General features: G+C 36.3%; 1 long non-coding RNA gene across 10 annotated transcripts in view, besides 3 other annotated features; it reads left to right on the forward strand.

Moving 5' to 3' along the window:
- The window catches only part of LOC124900169 (uncharacterized), a 109,752-nt gene that overhangs the window by 68,827 nt on the left and 14,389 nt on the right, over positions 1-26,536 (forward strand). For 7 of the 10 annotated variants that reach the window (XR_007058346.1, XR_007058339.1, XR_007058338.1 and 4 more), the window contains one exon: positions 3,188-5,840. The exons of 2 other annotated variants lie outside the window; for them this stretch is intronic. This is a non-coding gene — a long non-coding RNA (uncharacterized LOC124900169). Of the gene's footprint in view, positions 1-3,187; positions 5,841-26,536 lie in introns of those variants that run through there. One more of the 10 variants, XR_007058344.1, reaches the window with a different exon arrangement.
- Positions 23,677-24,876: an enhancer, noted in NCBI's record as "MED14-independent group 3 enhancer chr4:155640039-155641238 (GRCh37/hg19 assembly coordinates)". NCBI's record gives its function as "activates an origin of replication core promoter dependent on BRD2, BRD4, P300/CBP and CDK7 cofactors, and independent of MED14, by STARR-seq in HCT116 cells {active_cell/tissue: HCT116}" and the evidence as "EXISTENCE:reporter gene assay evidence [ECO:0000049][PMID:35650434]".
- Positions 23,909-24,410: an enhancer, noted in NCBI's record as "NANOG hESC enhancer chr4:155640271-155640772 (GRCh37/hg19 assembly coordinates)". NCBI's record gives its function as "activates a minimal SCP1, AML or CMV promoter by ChIP-STARR-seq in naive H9 embryonic stem cells {active_cell/tissue: H9 hESC(naive)}" and the evidence as "EXISTENCE:reporter gene assay evidence [ECO:0000049][PMID:30033119]".
- Positions 25,473-26,037: an enhancer, noted in NCBI's record as "NANOG hESC enhancer chr4:155641835-155642399 (GRCh37/hg19 assembly coordinates)". NCBI's record gives its function as "activates a minimal SCP1, AML or CMV promoter by ChIP-STARR-seq in naive and primed H9 embryonic stem cells {active_cell/tissue: H9 hESC(naive and primed)}" and the evidence as "EXISTENCE:reporter gene assay evidence [ECO:0000049][PMID:30033119]".

Genomic DNA, 26,536 nt, shown 5'->3' on the forward strand with positions numbered 1-26,536 from the left:
ACTCCATCTCAAAAAAAAAAAAAAAAAAAAAAAAGAAAAGAAAAGTTAGATTTTGGTGTCCTCATCATGGCAAAATTAGAAAACTGAACTTCTTGGCAAAATTAGAAAACTTTTAAAAACTAACATCAATTGTTAATAAATTTTATGAAGGGGGATCATATCTGTCTCGTTCACCCCTATATCCCTGGCAGAGTGCCTGGCACATAGTAAGTGTTCAAAAATATTTTTAAGTGAATGAATGTTCATTGTGGGTTAGCAACATTATAGATGTTATCTTATTTAATCTTCTTGGTAATCTTAAAAGTCAGATTTTGGTGTCCTCATCTTATAGATGAGGAGACTGAATCTCAGGGAGATAAGGAAGGTGCCCAAGGTCACACAACAAGGAAACAGCAGAAATTGAAATCAAATTACAATGTGCCTGACTCTAAATCCAATATTTGTTCTACTATGACACTCGTTTTAGCAAAGACTGAGAGTTGCCTGTTCAACAGCCATTTCCTTCTGTGTCCTTGAGGACAGACCTTAATTGTGTACTAGTGCCCTAGACCCTTAAGTGATTGAAGTAAATCCTTATTGGTCTGCCCCCATTCCCCATTTCTGTAACCAGTTTAGAGGTTTGGAATGTGACCTGGTTTTGGCTGTGAGACTGGAGAAAAATATTCTGGTAGTACAGATGGGGGAGGAGTTTGGGAAAGGATTTTTGTTGCCCCTTTAACAAAGAAACACAAGAGAGAAACAGACCTTTGTTTGACTCTTAAGTGTTGTTGCATAGGGATGTGATGCCACAGCTACTGAAGCCATCTTGCTGTCAGGAGGGGAATGAGAAGACACCCCTAGGTGCCTAACAAACCGTTGGACTCCCAGCATTTTTCAGAAAGTGGTAGCCCTCAGTCAAGTCTTTGGTTTTCCTAAGATAGTTACCTGAGCATTTGGGCTGCCCAGGAACCAGATAACTGGAGTATCAGTCACTCTGTAATACATACCCTACCAAAACCAGCTCCACAGTTTTTGAAATCTCTATTACAAATGCACATGTAAAATGAAATGCTATGATAGTTTTTATTGTTACTTTATGGAAATGAGATGTCTTAACTTATTCATTCATTTACTAGCCATTTCCTGTATGCCAATTGCTGGCAAGCATGGTAAGTACTTGATAGAGACAGGCACTGCAGAAGAGCAAAGGGAGATACTCAACCAGCCTGGTGGTAGGTTCTAAGAGGAAGGGTCTGGGAAGGCGCTGTACCAGAGCTGACAAGCAGTAACACTTGAATGAACCCAAAAAGACCAGTAGGAATTATCCAGGTAGATAAAGAAAAACAGGGCATTCCCTGCAAAGAAGGTAGCATATGAGGTACATGGAGATGTGACAGAATATGGCACAGCTGAGGAAGCACAAGTAATTGAGTGCATAGGGTGCAGGTTAGAAGAATTGGGAGGGAATCTAAAAGAGGTAAACAGAGGCTTGCTCACAAAGCACCTTGGCCAAGCTATAGGTGAGACTTATTCAGAAAGCAGTAGGGAGTTACTGAAGGATATTAAGTATGTGCTGAACATGACGATTCTTGCATATTAGGAAGATCACTTTGGCAACAGAAAGAATATTTTGGAGAGGAGGAAAGGAGACCAACTGAGCTGATGTGCTGCTCAATTGTGCTTTCAATGGAGAAGCAATGAAAAGGGGCTTTTAGATTCAAGACATACTTAGGAAATGGTTTAGAACTTGGTGAATGTATACGAGAGTTCAGCAAAGAGGGGAGTGCAAGGTTGGCAAAGAAACACAGAGCTAGCTAGGGGCATGGAGGAGGCTGCCAGACTGTTAAGGGCTCAGTTGAGGACACAGACCAAGAATTAATGGCTCTAGTGCACATGGTCGAGTGATTTACTTAGTGTGGTTTTAGGAGCAAAGAAGGATGGATCAATCCACATTTGGGTAAGTGTTGCAGAAGCAAAAGAAAGCAAGAAGAGTGAGAAGTTGGAAGTATTGTTTAAAGAGACAGGTTGAAGAGCTAAACCAAAGCAGGATGAAGGAAGTAAAACCAGAAGAGGAAAGAGAGGGATGGGGCTTCACAATTGTGGAGGAGAAGCAGGTATGATTGGAGCAATGAGGATTGTAGGAGCTGATGGAAAGAAAGTTGAATAGGTGGAGTAGCTCCAGGTAATACTAAGGGGAAGGGGTGAGTTGCTGATATCTGTGTGGAGATGAAGGTCAGTGATGTTGAAGGTAAGGCACTGGGTATTGGAAAGGTCATCCACACGGACACTGAAGACACCAGGATTATGGCAGATTTGGGATGGAGAGAAAATTCATAAACCATGTCAGGAAATGATGAGAACAACAAGAAAAGATGGACAATGGTGAATTTGAGAGGCATAAGTTTCAAAGGAAGAAGGATTTTCATAGGACATTTGAGGAATATTGAATGAGCAAGTGTTAATGGTTATTTAGCACTTACTGTTTACCAGGTTCTGTTCTAAGTGCTTTACATTTACATTTACTAAATTCATGTAATTCTCATCTGTGAGGTCAATACTGTAACTCCCATTTTACAAATGAGGAAACTGAGGCTCTGAGACCTTTAATAACTTGCCCAAGGTACATAGCCATGTCTAACCCAGGCAGTTTGTCATCTGCAAAGTCTACACTCTTGCCCATGTCAGTCTTCCTGCTTCTGCCCACCAGCCCAGCCAGTCCATGTGGTTAAGTGGAAGGTTCAAGAACAAGCAGCCGCCACTTAAGAGTACAGGGAGGAGGTAGTGTCTGAGGTGGGAGCCATTCAAAAAACTCTGACCATAACCAGTCTTTGAGAGCATCACCTCCTTTATGTTTTCCAGGGTCTAATTCATTTAGTACTGAGACATGATAATGTGCCTTTGAACTATGGGTTAATATGTAAACTGCCCCGAAGCCTTTTCAGAAGTGGGTACAGTATACTTTTAAAATAAATGGTTACATAATTATTAACTATAAGTAATCAATTACATAAATGAGTTAATTTGCATGTTTTAGAGAATTTATATACTCCTCTCTACCTAAGAAGTGGCAAAGAACAAACGGAAGTATACAACCGTGAATTATACATAGTTCTGCTTTTTCTCTGGCATTACATACTAAATTTTATGACAAATCAGTTCATGATTATTTTTTGAAAGATAATCTCCCTATTTTTCTTTTTGACTTTAGTTACCTACCAGACACTGACTATCTTAAACACCGAAGCACAAGAATGCTCCAAAGAAGAGGTCTATATTGCTTGGCTCATATTAACTTCTGTTTATTTTCTTACGATTAAGGCTCAAACGTTGTTAAAAAATGTTCAAATCCTACAAGACACTGACATGCCAGTTCCTCAGCTTTGATGGAGAAACCAGCTTTCTCTTCTTGCAGAGATACTCTTCATGAAAAGTGGAGCTCCAAGAAGAGTAGACATGAGGAAAATATGAATTTTTACAAAAGGAAATGTATGGTGCAATTATAAACTGTAGCATGAACCCATAATTGGAAGTCTACATCTCACAGTTATAGTCAAGAATTCTGGTACATATAAAATAAGTTCTTTCAAAATGGGATTCAGGTATTATTTAGAAATGCATCTACTGAAAAGAAGCATACCATAAAAATTTATGCTAATTATGGATGAGATCATGGACGGTTTAATCGAAATTACGAGTTGGATTTGTCAGATGTAGAGTCTCAATCAGGCCACTTGAAAGACCAAATGATTTCCTTTTCATCTGAAAGGTTCAGAGAGGAAGCTTTTGAAAAGACACTATTGAAATCTTCAAGGTAGCTGTTCCTAGCACAGCTTTGATTTCTAAAATAACTAGAAGGACTGTAGACCTACATGAGGGGAGAGAAGAGAAACTGAAGAATTGTTAGAAAACATAAGTTTTCTTTACTTCTAGTACCACTCCACGCTTTGTGAAAAAAGTTATTTTATGAAGTCAAGAAGTCAATCAGAAGAAACACCAGGGAAAGTCAACACAAACTGGTTTATCTAATACTTTTTCAGTGTCCAATTTGCAATGCACTGAGTTCCCTGCTAAACTATGTCTATATATTGGGGGCTGGGAGAGGAGTAGGTTAAAAATAAATAGGAGTTGCAAGTCTTTCTCCTCGGGCTACTAATAATATACCTGAATTTTATGTTTGATTTTGTCTTCCTTGTCTTTATAGTTTTTGCAACTAATGTATATATGTCTAAACAATCTATTGCTTAAATTTACATAATTTTCAGCTTTACATATGTAGAATCATGCTGTTTGTTTTCTTCTGTACCTCAGTTTTTTTCACTAAAAATTGTCTTCTGAAAAAAAAAAGCGGAGGTATCATACTTCCTGATTTAAAATTATATTACACAGCTATAGTAAACAAATCAGTATAGTACTTACTCAAAAACAGACACAGTGAAACAGAATGGAGTCCAGAAATAAATTCAAACATATACAGTAAACTAATTTTTGACAGAGACACCAAGAGGATACAGTGGGAAAAGGTTAGGCTCTTCAATAAATAGTGCTGGGAAAATTGAATTTCCACATATATGCAAAATTTATAAAATATAAGACCTAAAACTATAAAATTCCTTAAAGAGAACACAAAAAGCTCCTGGACATTGGCCTTGGAAATAATTTTTTGGATATCACACCAAAAAATGGAAAAAAAAAAAGCTCAGGCTACAAAAGCAAAAATAAATAAATGGGACTACATTGAACTACAAAGATTTGCACAGCAAACTAAATAACCAACAAAATAAAATGACAGCCTATTGATTGGGAAAAATATTTGCAAACCATGTGTCTGATAAGGGGATAATATCCAAAATTAATAAAGAACTCATACAACTCAATAATAGGAAAGCAAATAGCCTGATTTTAAAGTGGGAAAAGAACACTTGTCGACATTTCTCCAAATAAGACATGAAAGTGGCCAACAGATATATGAAAAGGCACCCAACATCATTAATCATCAGGAGAATGCAAATCAAAACCGCTGAGATATCACCTCACACCCATTAGGATGGCTGTTATCAAAAAAACAAAAGACAAATTTTGGTGGAGTTGTGGAGAACAGGGAGCCCTGGTACATTCTTGGTGGGGTTATAGATTGGTACAACCATTATGAAAAATAATATTGAGATGTCTAAAGAAATTTAAATGAGAACCATCATGATCTGATCAAGCAGTCCTTCTTCTGAGCATAGACCCAAAGTAAATGAAATAATCACCTCGTAAAGACATCCACACTCCCATGTTCATTGCAGCACTATTCTCAATAGCCAAGATATGACAAGAGCCTATGTGTCTGTTAATGGACAAATGGATAAACTGTGATATATACATATACATACACATATAGTTCTCTTACACTGAATGTATATTATTCAATATTGAAAAAGAAGATTCTGCCATTTGCCACACATAGTGAACCTGGAGGATGTTATACTAAGGGAAATAAGTCAGACGCAGAAAGAAAAATATTGTGTTATCTCGCTTATTTGTGAAATCTAAAATAAAAAGCCAAATATACAGAGATAGAGAATAAAACTGTTGTTATGGGCAGGGGATAGGGAGATGTAGGTCAAATATGTGGGCTGAATAAGACTAGAGATCTAATGTACATCATGAGGAATACAGGTAATAAAATTGCACTGTATTTGGGAAACCTGCTGAGTAGATTTTAGTTACTCTTGCCACAGAAACAAAGAAGAAATAGGTATCTATGTGAGATTATGGATATGTTAATTTGCTTCACTATATGTTACTATCTATATGTATCCCATAACATCGTATTGTATACCTTAAATATATACAATAAAAATGTATTTAAAAAATTATCTTCTGGGATTTGTTCATGTTGAGGCATGTAGGAATAATTCATTTTTCATCACTATAGAGTATTACATTTTATGAATATGTTATAATTTACAGCATAATTTATTTTTGCTTTGGGTGAATATTGAAATTTTTATAGACTGTTATTTATTTGTGTGTCTGCTTGGCTCTTACAAACACGCCTGCCTTGAACATTCTTGTATATCTCCTGGTATTCATATGCAAAAGTTTATCTAGGTTTATCTACCTAGAAGTAGAATTGTTGAGTTATTGGACATGGGCACCTTTAACTTTATTTACTGGATAATGCCAGCTCGTTTTCCAGAGTACTAATTTATACAGTTATCCTTCAGTATCTGTGGAGGATTGGTTCCAGGACTTCCTATAGATATCAATATCCACAGATACTAAAGTCCCTTATGTAGAATGGCATAGTATTTGCATATAACCTATGCATACCCTCCCATATACTTTAATCTTTAGGTTACTTAATATACCCAATACAATGTAAATGTTATGTAAATGGTTGTTACACTGTATTGTTTAAGAGATAGTGATAAGGAAAAAAGTTGGTACCTGTTCAGGACAAATGCAAGCTCCCTCTTCTTTCCAAATATTTTCTATCCATGGTTGGTTGAATCCATGAATATACAACCCATGGATACAGAGGGCCAACTGTACTCATACTTGCCTTCTGTTATTGCTTGAGAATCTCTCCAACACTTTTTATTATCCAACTTTTTAATTATTGCTGGTGTGATTGGTACAAGTAGTATTTTATGTTATTTTAATTTGCATTTCCCATATGTTTGTTGCCAGTCCTGCTGTCTTTCTGGAAAATGCCCATTTTTGTCTTTTGCCCATTTTTTCTATTAGGTTGTCTGTGCTTTTTTCAGTGATTTTGAGTTTTAAAAATTATCTTTTGAGTTCCATATATTTTGGAGACTAATCCATTGCTAGGTATGTATGTCACAAATTGGGGTTTATTGATGAATAGAATTATTCATTTTAATGTAGTTCAATGTATTAACCTTTTTCTTTATGATTTGTTTTAGATGTCTTATTAAAGAAATTCCTACCTATTATGAGGTAATTTATTCTCCTTTATTTCCTTCTAAAAGTTTTAAAGTTTTGCCTTTCACTTGTAAGTCCTTTGTCCAACCTGAAACTCGATAATGCATTTCCAATTAAGTTTTAAAATTTTCTCCATAATTGCCTTACATATTGAGATAATTGTATGTTTTCTTTCTTCATAGTTTGTTAAGGTAGTATTAGAGTAATAAACTTGAGAACGTTTAATCAACCTGCATTCCTGTAACAAATTCAACTTGAGCCTGATGTACGTTGGGTAATTTAGTTTGTGAATATTTCCTTGGTAACTTTCATATATATTCATAAAGGATATTAATCTATAATTTTCCTTGGTTTTGATCTCACAGTTATTTTAGCCCAAGAAAATCTTTTAATGCTTTTATCCTTAAAGTGTATTCTGTTAATATTAGAATATCAGCATTACCTAAATTTTATTAGTGTGTATGTATATGTGTATATATATATATATACATATACCTACACATATGTGTTTGTGTAGTCATTAAGCTGTACACTTAGTATTTCTGCATATTGCCATATGTAAATGGTACCCAATAAAGTACTATTGTTGTTTTTAAAAAGAACATAATAAGCAACTAAGAAAACATGGACTATTGAGCTACCACCATCAACTTTCAGTCATGGAGAATGGCAGGTGAAACAAAACAAAGACGCATAAACCAAAGCAAAATTCCAAAATTCTTTCATTTTGGAAACAAAAAACTTTCATTAAAAAATTTCTTTGATGTTAAGTCTGTTGGTAGAAATTTCAGTTTTTGTCTTCAAAACGTTTGTTTATAAGAAACTAGAAGCTTTCCTGCCAAGATCAAGAACAGGGCAAGGATGTCCCTTCTCACCACTCACATTTCAAGATGATACTGGAAGTTCTAACTAATGCAGTAAGATGAGAGAAGAAAATATATGTACAGATTGGGAAGGAAGAAATAAACTGTATTCACACATGACATAATTGTTTATCTAGAAAATCTGAAAGAATCAACAACATCAAAAAAATTCCTGGGGCCAGGCACAGTGGCACATGACTGTAATCCCAGCATTTTGTGAAGCTGAGACAGGAGGATTGCTTGTGGCCAGGAGTTCGAGACCAGCCTGGGCAACAAAGCAAGACCTTGTTTCTACAAAAATAATTTTTAAAATTACCCAGGTGCAGTGGTGTGCACCTGTAGTCCCAGCTACTTGAGAGGCTGAGGCAGAAAAACCACTTGAGCCCAGGAATTTGAGGCTGCAGTGAGCTATGATTGTGCCACTGCACTCCAACCTGGGTAACAGAGCAAGACCCGTCTCTAAAAAGCAAAAAAACAAAAATGACAACAACAACAAAACAAATTAATAGATTATAGTAAAGTTACGGTGTAGAAGGTTAATATACACAAATCAATTGCTTTTCTTTACACTAGCAAAGACCAAGTGGAATTTGAAATTAAAAACATAATACCATTTATATTATCTTCTCCAAAAATTAAATGCTTAGGTATAAATTTAATAAAATACGTACAAGATCTATATAAGAAAAACCACAAAACTGCAATGAAAGAAATCAGTGAAATAAAAAGATGGAGAGATAGTCCATGTTCAAGTATAGGAAAACTGAAAATTGTCAAGACATCAGTTCTTTTCAATGTAATCTATAGATTCAACGCAATCTTGGTCAAAATCCCAGCAAGTTATTTGGAGGACATCAAAAAACTGATTCTAAAGCTTATAGGAAGAGGCAAAAGACCCAGAATTGCCCACACAATATTTAAAAAGAAGAATGAAGTCAAAAGACTGACATTACCAAATTTTAAGACTTACTCTAAAGCTTTGATAATCAAGACAGTGTGGTATTTGGCAAAACAATAAACTAATAGATCAATGGAACAGAATAGAGAGCTCAAGATTAAACCCACACAAATATAGCCAACTAATCTTGGACAAAGAAGCAAAGGCAAGTCAATAGACAAAATAATCTTTTCAACAAATGGTGCTGGAACATCTGAAGAGCAACATGCAAAAAAAAAAAAAAAAGAATATGGGACAACTTCACATCTTTCACAAAAATTAACTCAAAATAAATTATAGACCTAAGTGTAAAATTCAAAACTATAAAACTCCTAGAAGATAACATAGGAAAAAGCCTATGACTTTGGGTATGGTGGTGACTTTTTAGGTACAACACCAAAGGCCCAATTCTTGAAAGAAATAATTGATAAATTGAGTTTCATTACAATTAAAAACTTCTGCTCTGAAAAAGACAATGTCAAGAAAATAAGAAGATAAACCACAGACTGGGAGAAAAATATTTGCAAAAGACCTATTTGATAAAGGTATTGTTATCCAAAATATACAAAGAAATCTTAAAACTCAACAAAAGAAAATGAACAACTCAATTTTTAAAAAATGGGCCAAAGAACTAAGCAATATCTCACCAAAAAAGTTATACAGAGGGCAAATAAGCATATGAAAAGATATTCCACATTGTATGTCATCAGGGAAATGCAAATTAAAACATTGAAATACCACTATACATCTATTAAAATGGCCAAAATTCAAAACTCCAACAACACCAAATGTTGGTGAGGATGTGAAGCAATGGGAACTCTCACTCATTGCTGGTGGGAATGGAAAATGGTACAGGCCCTTTGGAAGACTGTTTTTCAGTTTCTTACAAAACTAAACATACTCTTAACATATGATCCAATAATTGCGCTTGTTGATATTCAGCCAGAGGTGATGAAAACATATGTCCATGTAAAATCCTGCACATGAATGTTTATGGCAACTTTATTCATAAGTGCCAAATCTTGGAAACAATCAAGGTCTCCTTCAGTAGGTGAATGGTTAAATAAACTGTGGTACCTTCCGACAATGAAATAATAGCACTAAAAAGAAATGAGCTACCCAGCCATGAAGGGGGTACATTAAACGCAAATTGCTAAAATCCAATCTAAAAGGCTACATATTGTATTATTCCAACTATAGACATTCTGGAAAAGGCAAAACTATAGAGACAGTAAAAGATCAGGAGTTGCCAGGGGTTAGCAGAAAAGGAAGGCTGAATTGGTGGTGCACAGAGGATGTTTAGGGCAGTGAAACTATTCTGTATGGTGGATACGTGTCATTACGTTCGTCCAAACTCATAGAATGTACAACACCAAGAGTGAACCCTAATGTAAACTATAGACTCTGGGTGATAACGATGTGCCAGTGTAGGTTCATCAATTGCAACAAATATGCCATTCTGATGCCAGATGTTGATAGTGGGAGAGGTTGTATGTGTGTAGGGTTGAGGGATATATGGTTACACTGTACTTTCTGCTCAATTTTACTGTCAATTTTACAACTGCCCTAAAAAATAGTCTTTAAAATTGTGTTTATTTCTCCTTTGTTTTTGAAAGATAGTTTCAATAGAAATATCTGAAAACTTAAGTTGTAAACACTTTGAGTATTCCACTATTGCTGCTGAAAAATCAGCTGTCAGTTTGGCAGTGTTTTGATGGTAATATCTTTTTCTGGCTTCTTTAAAGACTTTTTTTATTGTTGGCATTCTGCAGTTTCACCATGTTCTTTCTAGGTATGCATTTCTTCTTATTTGCTTTGTTTTCATTCACTTTTTTTTTTTGCATCAGAGAGTTTGCTCTTTCATTCATTCTGGAAGATTATAAACTGCTGTCTCTCTAAATATTTTGTTTTCTTTTTCTATTGCCTCCTTTAACTCCAATTAGAAATATGTGAGACTCCACCAGTTAGAATGGTGATCATTAAAAAGTCAGGAAACAACAGGTGCTGGAGAGGATGTGGAGAAATAGGAACGCTTTTACACTGTTGGTGGGAGTGTAAACTAGTTCAACCATTGTGGAAGACTGTGTGGTGATCCCTCAAGGATCTAGAACTAGAAATACCATTTGACTCAGCGATCCCATTACTGGGTATATACCCAAAGGATTATAAATCATGCTACTATAAAGACACATGCACACATATGTTTATTGCAGCACTATTCACAATAGCTAAGACTTGGAACCAACCCAAATGTCCAACAATGATAGACTGGATTAAGAAAATGTGGCACATATTCTTAATGTGTGCCATGGAATACTATGCAGCCATAAAAAAGGATGAGTTCATGTCCTTTGCAGGGACATGGATGAAGCTGGAAACCATCATTCTCAGCAAACTATCACAGGGACAGAAAACCAAACACTGCATGTTCTCACTCATAGGTGGGAATTGAACAATGAGAACACTTGGACATAGGGTGGGGAACATCACACACCTGGGCCTGTTGTGGGGTGGGGGGAGGGGGGAGGGATAGCATTAGGAGAAATACCTAATGTAAATGACCATTAATGGGTGCAGCACACCAACATGGCACATGTATACATATGTAACAGACCTGCATGATGTGCACATGTACCCTAGAACTTAAATTATAATAAAAAAAAAGTAAGACTCATGGTCTTGTCAAAAACAGCTTCCTAGAATTACTTCGTCTTTGTCGAAAGCCATAGAAAATATATCCTGCGTAGGAGTTTTTGAACTTGCCCTTAAAATCTGCCTGAACCCTAATCTTCCTGAATTATCTTCTGCTGTTAAAAGTCAATTGCATAGAATCTGAGGGGATACAATAACAAATTATAATGTTTTATGTTGATGAATTCATTTGTAGGAGTCACATCAACTTGATTATTGACAATATGGATGCTAAGTTTTGGATCTCTATGATGTTATCGAAATGTGAGATGATCCAGTCTCCTTGTTCATGAAAAATGATGAAAATGTGCCATGGTGGAAAAGGAGTGGGTAGTGCCACTGATCAATGCCATCTGCAGATTTTTAAAATATAGTTTTTAGAAATTTGGGCCATAACAAATTAATAAGGAGTTTCTAGGGCTTCCAGTATATGGCATGGATACAACACTAATTTTTAAAGGAGATTTACAACTCTTTTTTATTATTTGGTTTTTAGAAGGCATTTCTTTACTCATTAATAAAAAGAACCACTCATCTGTTCCTCATAGGCATAAACAATAGGGAAATGGATAGCCTTATTCACTGCTGCTGAATGTCTCCATCTGGATATATTTGATAGTATCTCAGGGCAAATATTTAAATGCCACTGCCTCAGTATATTTCTTAACATTGGGAAAGAGCACATCCTGAATGAGACCCTGTAGGGAAGTACCTAGTAACGGTATTCAGGATGGCCGCCTCCGTTTTTGACAGATCACTTTGTAAAATAAATAAAACCTATTATGCCAGGAATCTAAGCTTTGTCTAGAACTTCCAATGGCAAGTTCTCTGTATATAAAAGTAACAATGGCACCATTCAATCAACCACTTTTGCCTTAGTAATATTAAGCAAGAAAAGCTAAGTAGTTGTTTTAAATAGAATGAAAAGGACAGGAGGAGAGTGAAGATACTATTTGTTTAAGTGGAACAGCTTGGAAATAAAAATAGTCCTGTCATATATACAGAATGGTAAGAGGAATGATTTGATCAATGCAATTATTTATTGCCTGCCTACTCTGCCCAACTTGGTTCCAGTTCTCACAGCACTTGCATTGATCAAAAGTTAATTGCAAGGGCCTGTCCTGAAAAACAGCAAACAAATAAAAAATGTACAGTTTAGTATAATATTTAGTAAGAGCTTATATACGTTGTAGGCACTCACTGTGCTAGATATTAGGACACAAAGAAGAAAAAGACATGGTTCTCCTCTTGTATAATTATATAAACTAATGAAGTCATATAAGTCACTTTAGAAGACATGCTATTATAGATTCTTGTCACCATGTGAGTTGACTGTACATCAATGTGTGAGTCAGGTTCACCACACCCCGACAAAAAGATGAAGCTGACATTGCTTATGGCACAGAAAGCTCCATTGTGTGGGCCTGGCACATGAGAGAAGGTGTGCCTCAGACGTGATTGAATTCTCAGAGGATAGGGTGAAGAAGCTGGAAATGCTCTTCCTAGGAGACTGGACTGATGAGGCAGGCATCAGTCACCAGCCCACGAGAAACAAAGAGTCATTGATTCTGGTGCCAGCCTCAGGGCTTCTGCAGCAGAGTTTGCCCCAGACTATCAGATAGAGTTCATTGCCACTCTCTCTTCACCATCAGCAAGCAGAGTCAGGAATTCCTGAGAAAGGAGTGCTTGTCCAGAAGCAGAAAAGAAGAGGTTGAATGCAGGTTATTTTTTTTTTACTATTATTTTGGCACTAAGTAGAATGACAAAGCAATATACTCCATGTGATTTCATAAAGCTTTCATAAAACTTCAAAAACAAGAGTGAAGAACTGATCAGTTAGTATTCCAATGAAACTAAATTATAGGTGCCATCCTTCTTATTCATAAAACCTTCTTGTGTTCTCATTTCTTAGCTAGAGAATGGGAGAAAATGAATTTTTTTTTTTTTCTGAGACAGTCTTGCTCTGTTGCCCAGGCTGGAGTGCGGTGGCGCAATCTTGGCTCACTGCAAGCTCCACCTCCTGGGTTCATGCCATTCCCCTGCCTCAGCCTCCCGAGTAGCTGGGACTACAGGCGCCCACCACCACACCCCGCTAATTTTTTGTATTTTTAGTAGAGACGGGGTTTCACCGTGTTAGCCAGGATGGTCTGGATCTCCTGACCTTGTGATCCACCCACCTTGGCCTCCCAAAGTCCTGGGATTACAGGCTTGAGCCACCGTGCCCGGCCAAATGAATTTTTTTAAACAATTTTTTTTCCAAGTCATTATCCACATTAATGGGGAACGTGCTGAATTCTTTCGTGAAAATCTCACCTTTACACTGGAGATATTGGCTTCATACAAATTCTCCCAGGATAGATGATGACCTAAAAGGTATGTTCCTTTTCTCTACCTGATATTTTCTACAAAATCAATTATTTTTCTCATTCTTCATTACTGATTCTATCTCCTAGTATATTGTTGGCAGACATAAGTATAATATGGGAAGTATGTACACTACTTTGACAGGAAGTACTAACAGTTTAATCTGAGGTCTGTGATTGGTAAGAACCTGAGTGTGGCATACATGTGTGAGCTTAGGGTTGAGTTCATGGAAGATACTGACTAGACTGAGATTCATGGGGAAAAAAATGATGACCTACATTCCACTTGGTCAAAGCAAGTATAAAGGTTATTGTTGCATAAATCAAAGATAGGCCTACATTAAGTGGAAGTCTAAAATTTTAGATTGGATTTTGAGAGGTAGACTTTCAGGGAAATGATCTTATCCTAGCTGGGGGAGATCTAACACTCTAGAGAAGGTGGGAAGGGTACAGAAAAGGCAATCATTGTGGAAAGTAGTCACGAAATGGAAATGTTAATTTCCATTAACATGAGAAAGAGAGGGAGAACTTTGCAAAACTCTCAACCTTTACAGTCAGCTTTAGGTAGCTAAAATAAATCCACAGATCCACTCTGACTTTTCATATTCCTTTCCACATTTGGATCTACTTCCAACATTTTATCCTCTGTGCTTTTAAATGTTGTGAAATATCTCCGAGAATTCCTTTAATGTGAAGCTTTGTTTGTTTATCTGTTTTGGCTAGCATCACTACCCCTGGGACATCTTCATCCTTTTAGTCACAATCACTTTCCTCACTTACATGGATAAATTTGCCTTCTCTGGAGTCTCTAAAAGGTCAGCAGTGTCAACATTCTCCCTGTCTGCTCTTTCTTCTATAGTTACATTTGCAACGGATTCGGATTTTACTTCCAGTGTTATCACATAACATTTATTTGTGCACTTTCGTCTTTCTTGGCCAGTTCTCTCTTGCATTTTTGTAAAATGTCATGTGAGTTTATCGCTGGGAGACAAGGAAGCAACACAGCTACATGGTTTGCTGTGTGTGCATGAACTGTAATAGTTATGCAATTACACCCAGTTAATATATTATGGTAACTGAAATAGGAATCATATTTTTGGGAGCCTAGCACTATTCAACTAATTTGTAATAACTAAAATTTGTGCATACTGTAAATGTGCAATGGGAGGGTTGCCTATATATTCAAAGGACTTACACTGTAATTGTCCATAAGCTTCTTAGCTTAATTTTAATTTTTGTACCCCTATGAAATTTGCTCTAAGGATATTTTATAACTGAGGGTGGCTTTTCTCCACTTGTTTGGAATGGTTTTCTTACTAATTCAAAATAAGGAGGTCTTACTAGTTTTGCATATTTTTTATCTTGTGAACTGGTATGCATTGTATGGTTCTCTGCATAAGTAAATGCTATTCAACCTCAGTGATAATCTAGAAAATTTTAGTCTCCCATGAAGATGAGATGTGAATTTAGAATGCAGACAAAAGGTAATTATTTCCATGAATTCATTATAAAAAGAAAAAAATCTGAAATGTTATGCTTCCCATTTGTTTACTTGACATGATAGATCTCTTTTCCTTTCTAGCATTTTTGCAGGGCTATTTCAGCTACTCTCACTTTATTATTGGCTTTACCTAAAAATTGGACTTTTTTTCTTAAGCAAAACACGCAATTACGCCTTATAAATGTTAGGTATTTTTGGAGGGCTAAAGAAACATGTCTTTTACCTAGTGTGCTGAGAGAAGATTCCTCCAAAAAGGGACTGTCTAACTTTGACCAGCTAAGCTGCTCTCTGTCACTTCAGTGTTAGAACAACCACACTCCATAGGACCATCTTTTTATTTTTTGGTATATGTCTTCAATTTTCTTCCATTCATAGATCTACCAAGTGCTTCACTCACACATCTCTTCGAAGATCTGGCCAATGCAAGAAGCAGGACAAAGGCAACTCTGCACATATATGTGTGCTTTTGCTTATCAAAAACATTTTTGCCCGTCTCTAAACTTGATTGCAGTCATTTAATGTTTTCATTTGTATCAAACAATTAAAATCTGTGTTTACTGTATTCAATAACATTAATTAGTCAATTGCTTCAAAGCCATTTTCTTACCAACATAACAGAGAAGAAATGTATGCTTCAGATAAGCTGGGGCTCTGAAGAATTCATTTTGGCAAAAAAGAAATATATTAAACATATGTGAGGTCAGAAAATCTACTCCTATTTCATAGTATTAATTTATTCATTCTATTAATTGGTCTTTTGTTAAGAGCTCCCTTTTTCTTTTCTCTAAGTATTCTCTAAATAGTACAGTATTTCTTCATTATCACCATGTTTCTATTTTTTATTCACATATATTTCCTTATTTATATATACTTAAAAACTATCTTTCCCTCTTAAAATTTCTTTCTTTTTTCTTTCTAGAAATTGCCAGATCCTTCCCTTATAACTTCTTCTTCCTTTTTAACCTCACTTATCTTGCTACTGAAATCCCAAGAATAATGAGGCTATCTTCTAATAAATGCCTTTAGGTGGACTGTAAAAGCTATTTTCCTTTTATAAAATTAATATGCAAAAATCAGAGTGGACCTAAATTTCTATTGTCTAGTGAGTTTATAAGCTGAAAAGAATGAAAGTGTACAAATTATTATTAAAGGTGCCCATATTTGTATTTTTATAAACAGTGGCTCCATGTACACTTTGTCTACACCTGGGAAGGTATCTGGATTATGGCCAAAGCCAGTTTGTGGACTTCAGCTTCACCAGTAGCTTCTGCCAAGTTATTTGAGCTGAGGTAACTAAAAAAATGAGCTAGCCAACCATTTATTACTGATGATAAAAGAGAAGAATTTGCATTTTCTAAAAAATTAAGATATGTATTTCTGTTATTTTTCACTCAAAAATTATTTAGCCTTTACCATTCCCTAGAACATTACTTTGAGTGGAGTTACATCAGTGAGCATGATGGTCAAGTTTCTTGACCTCATAAAACTTACAGTCTATTGAAATTAATATCCTAACACTATTCATTTGATTTTCTGTTAATCTTTAATCCTCTCTTTGCAAGTTGCACCTATATAGCATATGCTTAGTTTCAAAAATTAAAAGAAATGAATGTTATTAGAGTTTCATAACACCCCTTGAGATACTTAGAGTTGCCAGAAAAAATATAGAACTCCCTGTTAAATTTGAATTTCAGATAAACAATAAATAACTTTTTATACATAAGTATGTCTTGTACAATATTTAGGTATATCTTAAATTGGATATACCTAAATCTGGAAAGTCTAAATTAGAGAATCTCTGGATGTCATGAAAGCAGGAAGAGTGACATTCACTATCAACAGATTCACTGTGATGGCAACAGCCTGTCCAGTCTACATCCCACAACCCCTGCCATTCTCATCCCCAACCCTGGCCACCCAATAAAGAGTATTATCTCAAAATCAGATTGATACTGTACTTCAAACTAGCTAGTCATCTCATTCATCTTCAGCATATGTGCTTATTAATGTGATGTTTTGTATATAATAGATATCATACACAGCATCCTGTCTACTATCCATACTTAAAAATATGTCTAACTGATCAAGTCATAGGAGATTACTTCCAAAATATTCTGCATAAAGAGCAACCTGAAGGAAAATCAGTAATAAGGCATGGCTCAATTTAAGTGGCTAAATTATCACATTTATATTTTGGGTTTATAAATAGTCCTGAGTATCGATTTCGAATTAGGAGATCAAATGTTTTTATTCCAATTCTAGGACTTTTACCTTTTGTCCACATTTTGGAGGATACAGGAAAACAGAAAACACGATCGTTATCCTCCAAAATGAACTGGTGGCCTTGCTTGACACTCTTTGTACACTTGTGAAATTGACAGGGTTTGCAGCATCTAGAAGTCAATAGGAGACCCTTTGGGGGATAAATGCTCAAATGGGTGTTTCAAACATTAAACCTAGTAGGTGGGAGAGACATGGGCTGGGAAAATCTTGGTAGAAATGGTAGGACTTGACAGGAAGAAACATGATCTACCATGTAATTAAAATACAAAGTGTGACATATTTTAAAGAAATACAAGTATAGAAAAACTAAGTTTATATTATAGGACTTAGTGTAGCAATGTTGCATGTGATGTCTTTAGACATTGCCTCAGTGTCAGAAATCTTATTATTGTATCATATGCTGGAAAAATTATATTAATGAAATTGGAGTCTATTTCAGTTGCTCACTCTAAGTGAAATGTAAACAGTCTGATTTTCTTCAAATTAAAGAGTTTTTTTTAAAGTATAAGAAATATATTCAAGGCCAGGCACGGTGGTTCATCCCAGCACTTTGGGAGGCTGAGGCGGTCAGATCACCTGAGGTCAGGAGTTCAAGACCAGCCTGGGCAACATGGTGAAACCCCGTCTCTACTAAAAATATAAAAATTAGCCAGGCATTGTGGTGGGTGCCTGTAAGCCCAGCTACTCAGGAGGCTGAGACAGGAGAATTGCTTGAACCCAGGAGGCGGAGGGGCAGAGGTTGTAGTGAGCTGAGATCCCACCACTGCACTCCAGCCTGGGCAACAGAGCGAGACTCTGTCTCGAAAAAAAAAAAAAAGAAATATATTCAAAATATGAGATATTATGTGCATGTAAAATTCTAAATTATATATCTGTTTGATATGATTATGTTATGTTTTTGTTAAAAATTAACATTTTCAATAACAAATAAACTGTAATTTTTCTTTTAATCAGTTTATTATTTTATAATTATTTAACTTCATTTTCTGATAGCTGATTTTAGAAATTCATATACCTTAACAGTTTGAGAACAGAGGATCAAAATAATTAAATGAATTTATTTACACTTCAAAATCAACAATTAGAACATTCAAACCTAAAGGAGTATGATAGATGCTAGTATTTCTTTATAAATAATCTTTTCTAAAGTCTTTGATTTTGGAATATGATCCTACTTAAGCACACTGCAAGTTTTCTTTTTTTAGCTCATTAGCATTTTGTACTTAACTAAAAACAACAGTGAAGCTATACTTTATTCTTGGCATTTCTTCACCTAAAATAAAGCCATTGAAAGCCCCATCTTCATATAAATGTAGGTCTTATGGAATGCCTTGGTTACTTTAGACATTTGGAAATGTCAGACCAATAGCTATGGGGGCTGGAATGTGCTACTTCACTTTAATAAACAAGAATTAGAAGGCAGGGCATTGCATTAAGAAGATTTATGCATGAGTTGTGGGAACATAGGCAGAGACCAAAACCAGACAGATCACCATCAGTATTTTGAGTGGGAAAAGTGTTTGAAATGGACTGAGATCGCAACTGAAGAACCACTGGCAAGTTTAATTGAGGGCCATAATTCAGTACACTAGGGTCAAAATAGGGCAAAGCTATGGAGGATGAAGCCCATTGGCTTAGCTATATAGGACGAGGTCAGGGAAGGCCAATGTCATCATCAGACAAGTTAGCAAGGCATACCGAGACTTTCTTAATGAACATAAGAAAACCAGATAAGCAGAAGCTGAGGTCTAGCTCTGAGATAATACTATCAGTCTCCATGAGTTATTTTGATAAGAGGCTATCTTTAACTTAGACCTTTTCTCTGCATGGGCTGGTAAAACTCTTCCATCGACAGCTCTGTTACTATGTCAGTATTTCTAGGACTGTGTTTGTTGAGGCAGGTCAGAAGCTGCATTTTCAAACTCCCAAAACCTGACCCATGTTTGTGTTGGGTGCTAGTGCTCTGAGCTGAGACCTTAGCAGGGAATTTCCCAAAGGCTAAGTTCTCCAATTCCCTTTTAGCCTCCTTCATGGTACTTTTACTCTGGTCCTGCCCCCACCATCCAACATCCTGGGCTCAGGGCCAGGCTTAGCATCAGGTTTCAGATGTACGTTGCCTATAAAAATGTCTCTGAATTGGCAATAATTAGTCTGTGCAACTGTATTTAGCTCTAAAATACTATGTGTGCTGAGGGATTGCTCTTACTGGAAATAGGCCTGTGGAGATAGATTGGGAATGACATAAATATTCTCAATGAATGGAAAAGCATATCTAGAAATATTTCTTTTACTCTTTCCTTATCAAAGCTTTTAAAATGACTGAACTCTGATCTTGGGTTCCGAAGTGTCTCTGGGGAAGGTCATTTGAATCTGCTGTATTGTCAGGCTGTCTAACATCTGCAAGGTGATTCTCAACCTGGACTCTTGGAAATTAGCATCAGTGTTTTTTGGTTATCACAATGACAAGGGAGTAATACAAGCATTTAGTGGTGATATGGTTTGGATCTTTATCACCTCTAAAACTCATGTTGAAATGTAATCCCCAGTGTTGGAGGTAGGACCTGGTGGGAGATATTTTGGTCATGAGGGTGGATCCTCCATGAATATGTTGGTACTGTCTTCCTGATAATGACTGAATTCTTGTTCTGAGTTTATATGAGATCCTGGTTGTTAAAAAATGTAGCGCCTCTCCCACTTTGCTCTTGCCCTTGCTACCTGATGCACCTGCCACCTCTTCACCTTCTGCCATGATTGTAAGCTCCCTGAATCCTTCCCCGGAAGCTAAGCAGATGGCAGCACCATGCTTCCTGTGCAGTCTGCAGAACCGTGATTCAATTAAACCTCTTTTCTTTATAAATTACCCATTCTCAGATATTACTTTATAGTGATACAAAATGGACTAACACAAGTGGAGAAGAGCCAGTGATGCTAAGCTTTCTATAAATGCGCAAGACAAAAATCCTGCACAACCAAGAATTCCTCTAGCACTACCATGATTAGCAATACCTGTAGTGATTTCTAGTTGACTCCCAGGGCATTGGCACTGGCATTTGAATGAAACTTTTTCTGCTCTTCCTAAATACACTGGGGATTATCTGCTGTTACAATTTCATATTTTTGTTTTCTCAGACTCTTCATATCAGTCAACAAAAACTTGAATTCCCTCCCTCTTCCCTTTACTATTCTTCATCTTTGTTCACCCTGTTCTCTTTCCTCCACTCTTACAGAAGGAAATCTTTCATCTTCTTTCCAAAGATAACAACAGCTCCATTCAAAGCTTTGGTAACATCCCACTGCATCTCATCCTTGACTCTGTCTCTTGCGTCTTTAATACCCTGCCAGTCCCTTCTTCTCCTTAGACAAGTGCTTAAGTGTCCTTATCCCAAATATCAAATAAAAGCAAAAACCAAAACTCTTAAACCTGCCACTTAACTCCTTAATGTTCCTTATCATTTCTTCAGCAGAAGGCTCAGAGTCTATAAACTGTTTTATGCAATCACTGCCTCTAGTTCCTCACCATCCGTTGGATTTTAAATCTCTTGTAATCTGATTTCTACCCTCTAATTCTGCTCTCTTGAGTAATGCCCAGTTGCCAGAACCACTCTCTCTCACTCTTCAAATTCCTTGGATTTCTCTGCAAAATTGGATCCTTGATAAATCCCTTGTTAAAGATCATTTATTCTCCCTTTGCTTCAGTTTACCTCTTGATGCTCCTAGGAAGACTGAGACCATACCAAATGAGCCCCTTCATTTTCTTGAATTCTACTTTAATATTTCACTATCTGTATAAATCCAGGATTCTCGCTGTTCCATCTTTGGGGCTCCTATTCCTCATCCTCTTCCCATACACTGGATACTGGGCTTGGGTCCCCTCTGCTGACTGCCCTTAGCCTTCTCATCTAAGTGAATGTTCTGAAAAATACAAACATGGCTAGCCATAACTCCTCTGTTGTACTCCAGGCCAAACTGCCAGCTTCCTGACAGATAACTCCACTTGGATGCCCACTGCTACTCCTGAAATTCAACAAAATGACATCCAAAATATTTTGGCATATTTCTTGTATAGTATTTTGTGTTTAGCGATCATTTTTATACATGACTGTTTCAGCTACCAGCCTGAGACTTCTTAAAGACAAGGATGGTTTCTTATTTTATTTCTTTTAGCCCCTAGCATCTAGCATAGTGCTTTAAAAAATGTTAATTGGATGATAAAGAAGAGTGAAGACTTGAAGTTCCTTTAGAAAATGGATTGTGTCATATCCGTGGCCCAGTGCCTAGCACAGCTATAGCACAGTGCTTAGCACAACTGTACTAAACAAATATTTTTTGAGCAAATCTGTCATCTCTTCTTCCAAAGCCACCTCTGTTTTCTTTCCTATCAATGTCAATGATACCATCATTTTCCTGGTAACCAATGTCACAAACCTCAATCTTCTCTGATTCTTCCCTGGTCCCTAAATCCAGAGTAAAGTCTGGTAAGTCTTCCTCAAAAATTTTAAATATTTCTCTTTTATTTCATTTCCACTGTCACCATGCTAGTGTGTGCTTTCATTTAGACCAGTATTTCCAATCTGCTCTCTTGCAGTCTATCAAAGGTTCATAGAAGCATACAAAGAAAATGAAAAGAGTTCTTCAGGAGCAAATATGTTTTGGAGGTAGACACTGGGTCAGATGAAAGTAACTAGGTTTTATTGCTGAGTATCCTCTCTGAACCTTTCATTTAAAAAATATAAATATCTTCTAAGGCAGTATAATATATAGGGGTTTACAAATTTATTTTACAATGGAAGCATTTTTCTGATGCCACATCAATTAACATCTCCTGAGTGTTCCACAGAACACAAGTCTAGAAAATCTAGAACTAGACTACTAAAATAGCATTTTAATTGCTCTCTCTGACTTGAGCGACTATTTTTTCCTAATCTATAATTTAAAATAATGCTTAAACTAGACTTCCTGAAATCCAGCTCTGATTGATAGATTATTATTTTCTTGTTCATCCACACCCCCAAAAAGGAAATTTTTAATGACTCTCAATGACTTAACTAATAAACTTTCCAAATGTCTAGTTATTTTTAGTTTTCTGCCTTTTACAAACACTTCTGTGCCCAAGGAAATTCATTTGTATCATAATAGAGGCATTTTGTCAAAAGACAGCATTGGGGCTTAGGATGCTCCACCCCAAAATATGACTGTAGGTGACCAGAATCTGCTTCTCTGGCATATTTTGAGTGGGAAATTGCATAAATTGAGTGGGAAATTGAGTGGGAAATTCTGGGAAATTGCAGACACAGGAGTAGCTCTGAAAAGCTCCCCTTTTATAAAAGAAACTTACATGTATGAAGGAAGTCTACATGAGTAAAAGTATCTGTACCAGAAAGAGACCTGCTGTGAGACAACTTTTATTACCTAAGAGACTTTTTATCTGCATAATAAGACAATCTGTATTCATCACACATTTCCTCCCCTCACCCTCCTGCAACCTCTCTCTACCATCCACTAGAAGCACCATGCCCCTATTCCTTTACTGTAGCTCAAGATACAATAGAAGCTTCTATCATCTGGTACTTCTTCAAGTCTCATATTTTGTGGGACTCCTGTGTGCACATAAGAAATTAAATATGGTTTTTCTCCTGTTAATCTATCTTCTGTCAATTTCATTGGTACCCCAGCAAAAGAACCTAGGAAGGTAGAGGGAAGCTATTTTTTCCCTCCCCAACAAAAGCAAACCTTACATATTTTATTGCTCTTTAATTTCCATTTCAGTGAGTATTCAGCATTTGAACAAAGTATATTTTCCGTAAGAATATAATAGTTCCTTAAGTATTTGGCATTGAATGATGCTTCTTCTTGTGTAAGTAGGACTCAGAGTTAGATATTTGTGCCCACTTTTAGGTTTCTGAAGGAGATGGTTGTACAGTTCAGTAAAACATATATAGTGGCCTAAAGCTTGTGTCATCTAAACCTGCCCACTTTCTAACTTGAGTATTTAAGCAGATGGGATATATTTATTTATCTCTAAGGATATTGATAAATTTCTACCAGTTAGTTCTACTTTCTCACCCTGTCCCCTTTGTTATTTGTAAAATGCATTTTTTGAACGTCCTGAGATTAGAGCCATTTGTACAAGGGACTGAAAACTAATTACCCTGTGTGATTCCAACCTTGTACTCATTAACAACTTGCTCTAATCAGCTGGATAACTGGCACCAACAGTGTGGGATGTTGAACTGAATCATTACTCCAGAATACAATAATTTAAAAGTAGAATGGCCGTTTTCAGTGTCTGGATAATCTTGGAATCTACACTTGAAAAGCTAAATCCTGGGAAATATCTAGACCTAGAAATACACTTTCTGATTTTGTCAACCAGAGAAGCATGTGGCCACCACATGGCTTACCTTCTGGTCAGCAATATCACCACCGTCCACCCACCTCAACCCTCACACACACATTGCTGAAATTTTCCAGAGAACAAAGAGCATGGTTTGTTATTCTTCTTAATAAACTCACCGTAGAAAGAGTAATTCGCTCTTGATGTTTTCTCTAAGTACCAGGGAACAACACACAAAGCATCTTTCTGAGTATCTTTGAATGACTCATTTCCTGGGTGTGCTCAATCATGATGCAATCAGGAAAGCTGCAATACATTTAAATTTAAGATTTTTATTTTCTGGATAAGTAAAATTGGAGAAAAATCATATTCTTTTCGGAGGTGGGGCATCTGGTAACTTCACTAAGAAGGAAGGAGTAAATATGTTTCTAGTTGCTTTGAGCAAGCCATATGGTGCCAATCAATACCAACATTGGCCAGTGAGAGAGGTGAATTTCACTCATGTGTTTCAAGACTTAGTCTGATCCTCTGTCGTTTCCATTCCTAGATTCTACGAGATCTATTTTCTTTCTTGTATTCTCATTTAATACTTTCAAAAGATTATCTATTATCAGTTGATATTTTCTATTTTTCTGTACATTTCATCAATAATAATTTAGCCAAAGCTAATAAGAAATTCTCCTGAAAGTCTGATCTCTAATGAATACTGAAACCAAGTTCAACACATTAAAGGAAGTAATTAAGAAGGCACCCTATTGGGTTTAGGTATGCTAGGTCAGCCAAAACAGGATTTTTTTATTTTTATGAGTTTTTGTCAAATTTAAAGTATGTCTACATTTTAAAACAAAAATTTAATGAAATTTGTTTGTAGCTATGCTACTCTATAAATATTTATTTTTTAAATTATTCTTCATGTAACTTAAAGATGATTTTTTTTAAAATAATGGCCTAGACATGCCAATAAAAATACCTATTCAATTTGCAAAAAAAGTATTAAATACCACAGGTATTTTCTACATAATTATATATATATACACAAGTGGTATGTGTGCATGTATGTGTGTGTGTGTGTGTGTGTGTATACGTGCTGTGTAGCATACTAGCCATGTAATAACTGTTAACTGTGAAAGTTTCTAAGAGGTCAGTCATCTGTTTCATCACCTTACTTCAGAAAGGGCTGTGCCTGTATTAACCGTGGGGCATGGCTAACTAATGTGGTTTCTTACCTCTTACTCTTCCACCTCTTTTTATTCATTGAAGTCACAGTCATAACTAGCCCATACACAGTGCTCACTGTTTGCCAAGCATGGTTGCACTTTACACATACTGACTCACTTAACTCTTACAGCATCTCTATCAGATAGGTTTTCCATTACTCTTCACATATTACCTTTAAATTCCCTTTCTTTCCCTTGCTTCTCATTTAACCCAATTCTAACTTTAAATAAGCTCACCTGTCTTTATTCTTCTATTCTCTTGTTCATACTTCTTATTTTAATTTTTTCCTGACCCATTTTCCCTACTTGTGTCACACTTTATCTTCTTGACATTTTGCTTTATCTCCCTCTATCACATTTTTCAGTACTTCTGCTTCTCCTGGAATTTTTAGCTGACAGCCATGCTCTCAAGGTGCAAAAGGTGCTCAAGACTCCTGAAACTGAGCCGCTCACTTGTTCCCATATCATAGGAATAAGTGAGGCTGAGAGGCAGGCTGGGTGCCTGGGAAGTCCAGTGGGGGTCAGGCAAGTAACACTTCTAAAGAATAGAGCACTCACCATGTTAGATTGTGTTCAGAGATAATCACTCAGTCAGTCAGATTGCTATTCAGATTAGCAATCTTGTGAAAAGAAAGGCCCAACCTTCCCTGATGAGTATTTCAAGTGCACCCTCCCCAGCAAAGATTCTTTAGAGCACTGCTTAAGAATCTTGCACTTACATTAGAGTCACCTGGAGAGCTTGTTAAAACAGATCTGTAGGCCTGGGGTGGGGATCACAAATTTGCAATTCTAAGTAGCTCCCACGCTACACAGACGCTGTCTGCCCACAGACCACTGTTGGAGTAGCAGTACTTTACAGTTTATATATTTTTCTAATTTTTGGTTTAAATAATTCTGGATAGAGTTTAAAGCCAATCATCTGTACTCTCCTTCCAGTGGCACTGATCTGCCAGACAACTGTTGAGTGACATTCACTCATTAGATTCTGTTTTGTGGCTAAACAACACCAGTTTCTTTAGCTTTTTATAAAATCTATTTTGTAAACCTTGCAGCACTCTTACATCTCTCTTTCATGCCTTCTACCAGTTGTCTACATCTTCCTCCAGTGTAGATAGGCAAACTGAACTGAATCTCTATATATTTTAAATTGGAAAGAGGTTTGATTCAGACTTGGTTTTGCAGATTAACTTTTGGTTCCTATATATTATATTTATTAAACAAAATATGTCCTTATTTAGCACTTACATATAATGTAAGTGCTAAATACATATAATGTACTGCACAAAGTGAACTGGAGATTTAAAAAAAAAAAAAAGAACTGAGACACAGATCCAGAACTCCAGTTGCTTTGAAACTCAGGAGGAAAATAAAACAAAACAAGACAATAACAAAACAAATCACAGAGAAATAGAATTTTGGGAACTAGAGTGGACCA

The sequence above is a fragment of the Homo sapiens genome, chromosome 4 (assembly GCF_000001405.40).
Source record: "Homo sapiens chromosome 4, GRCh38.p14 Primary Assembly".
Taxonomy (NCBI): domain Eukaryota; kingdom Metazoa; phylum Chordata; class Mammalia; order Primates; family Hominidae; genus Homo; species Homo sapiens.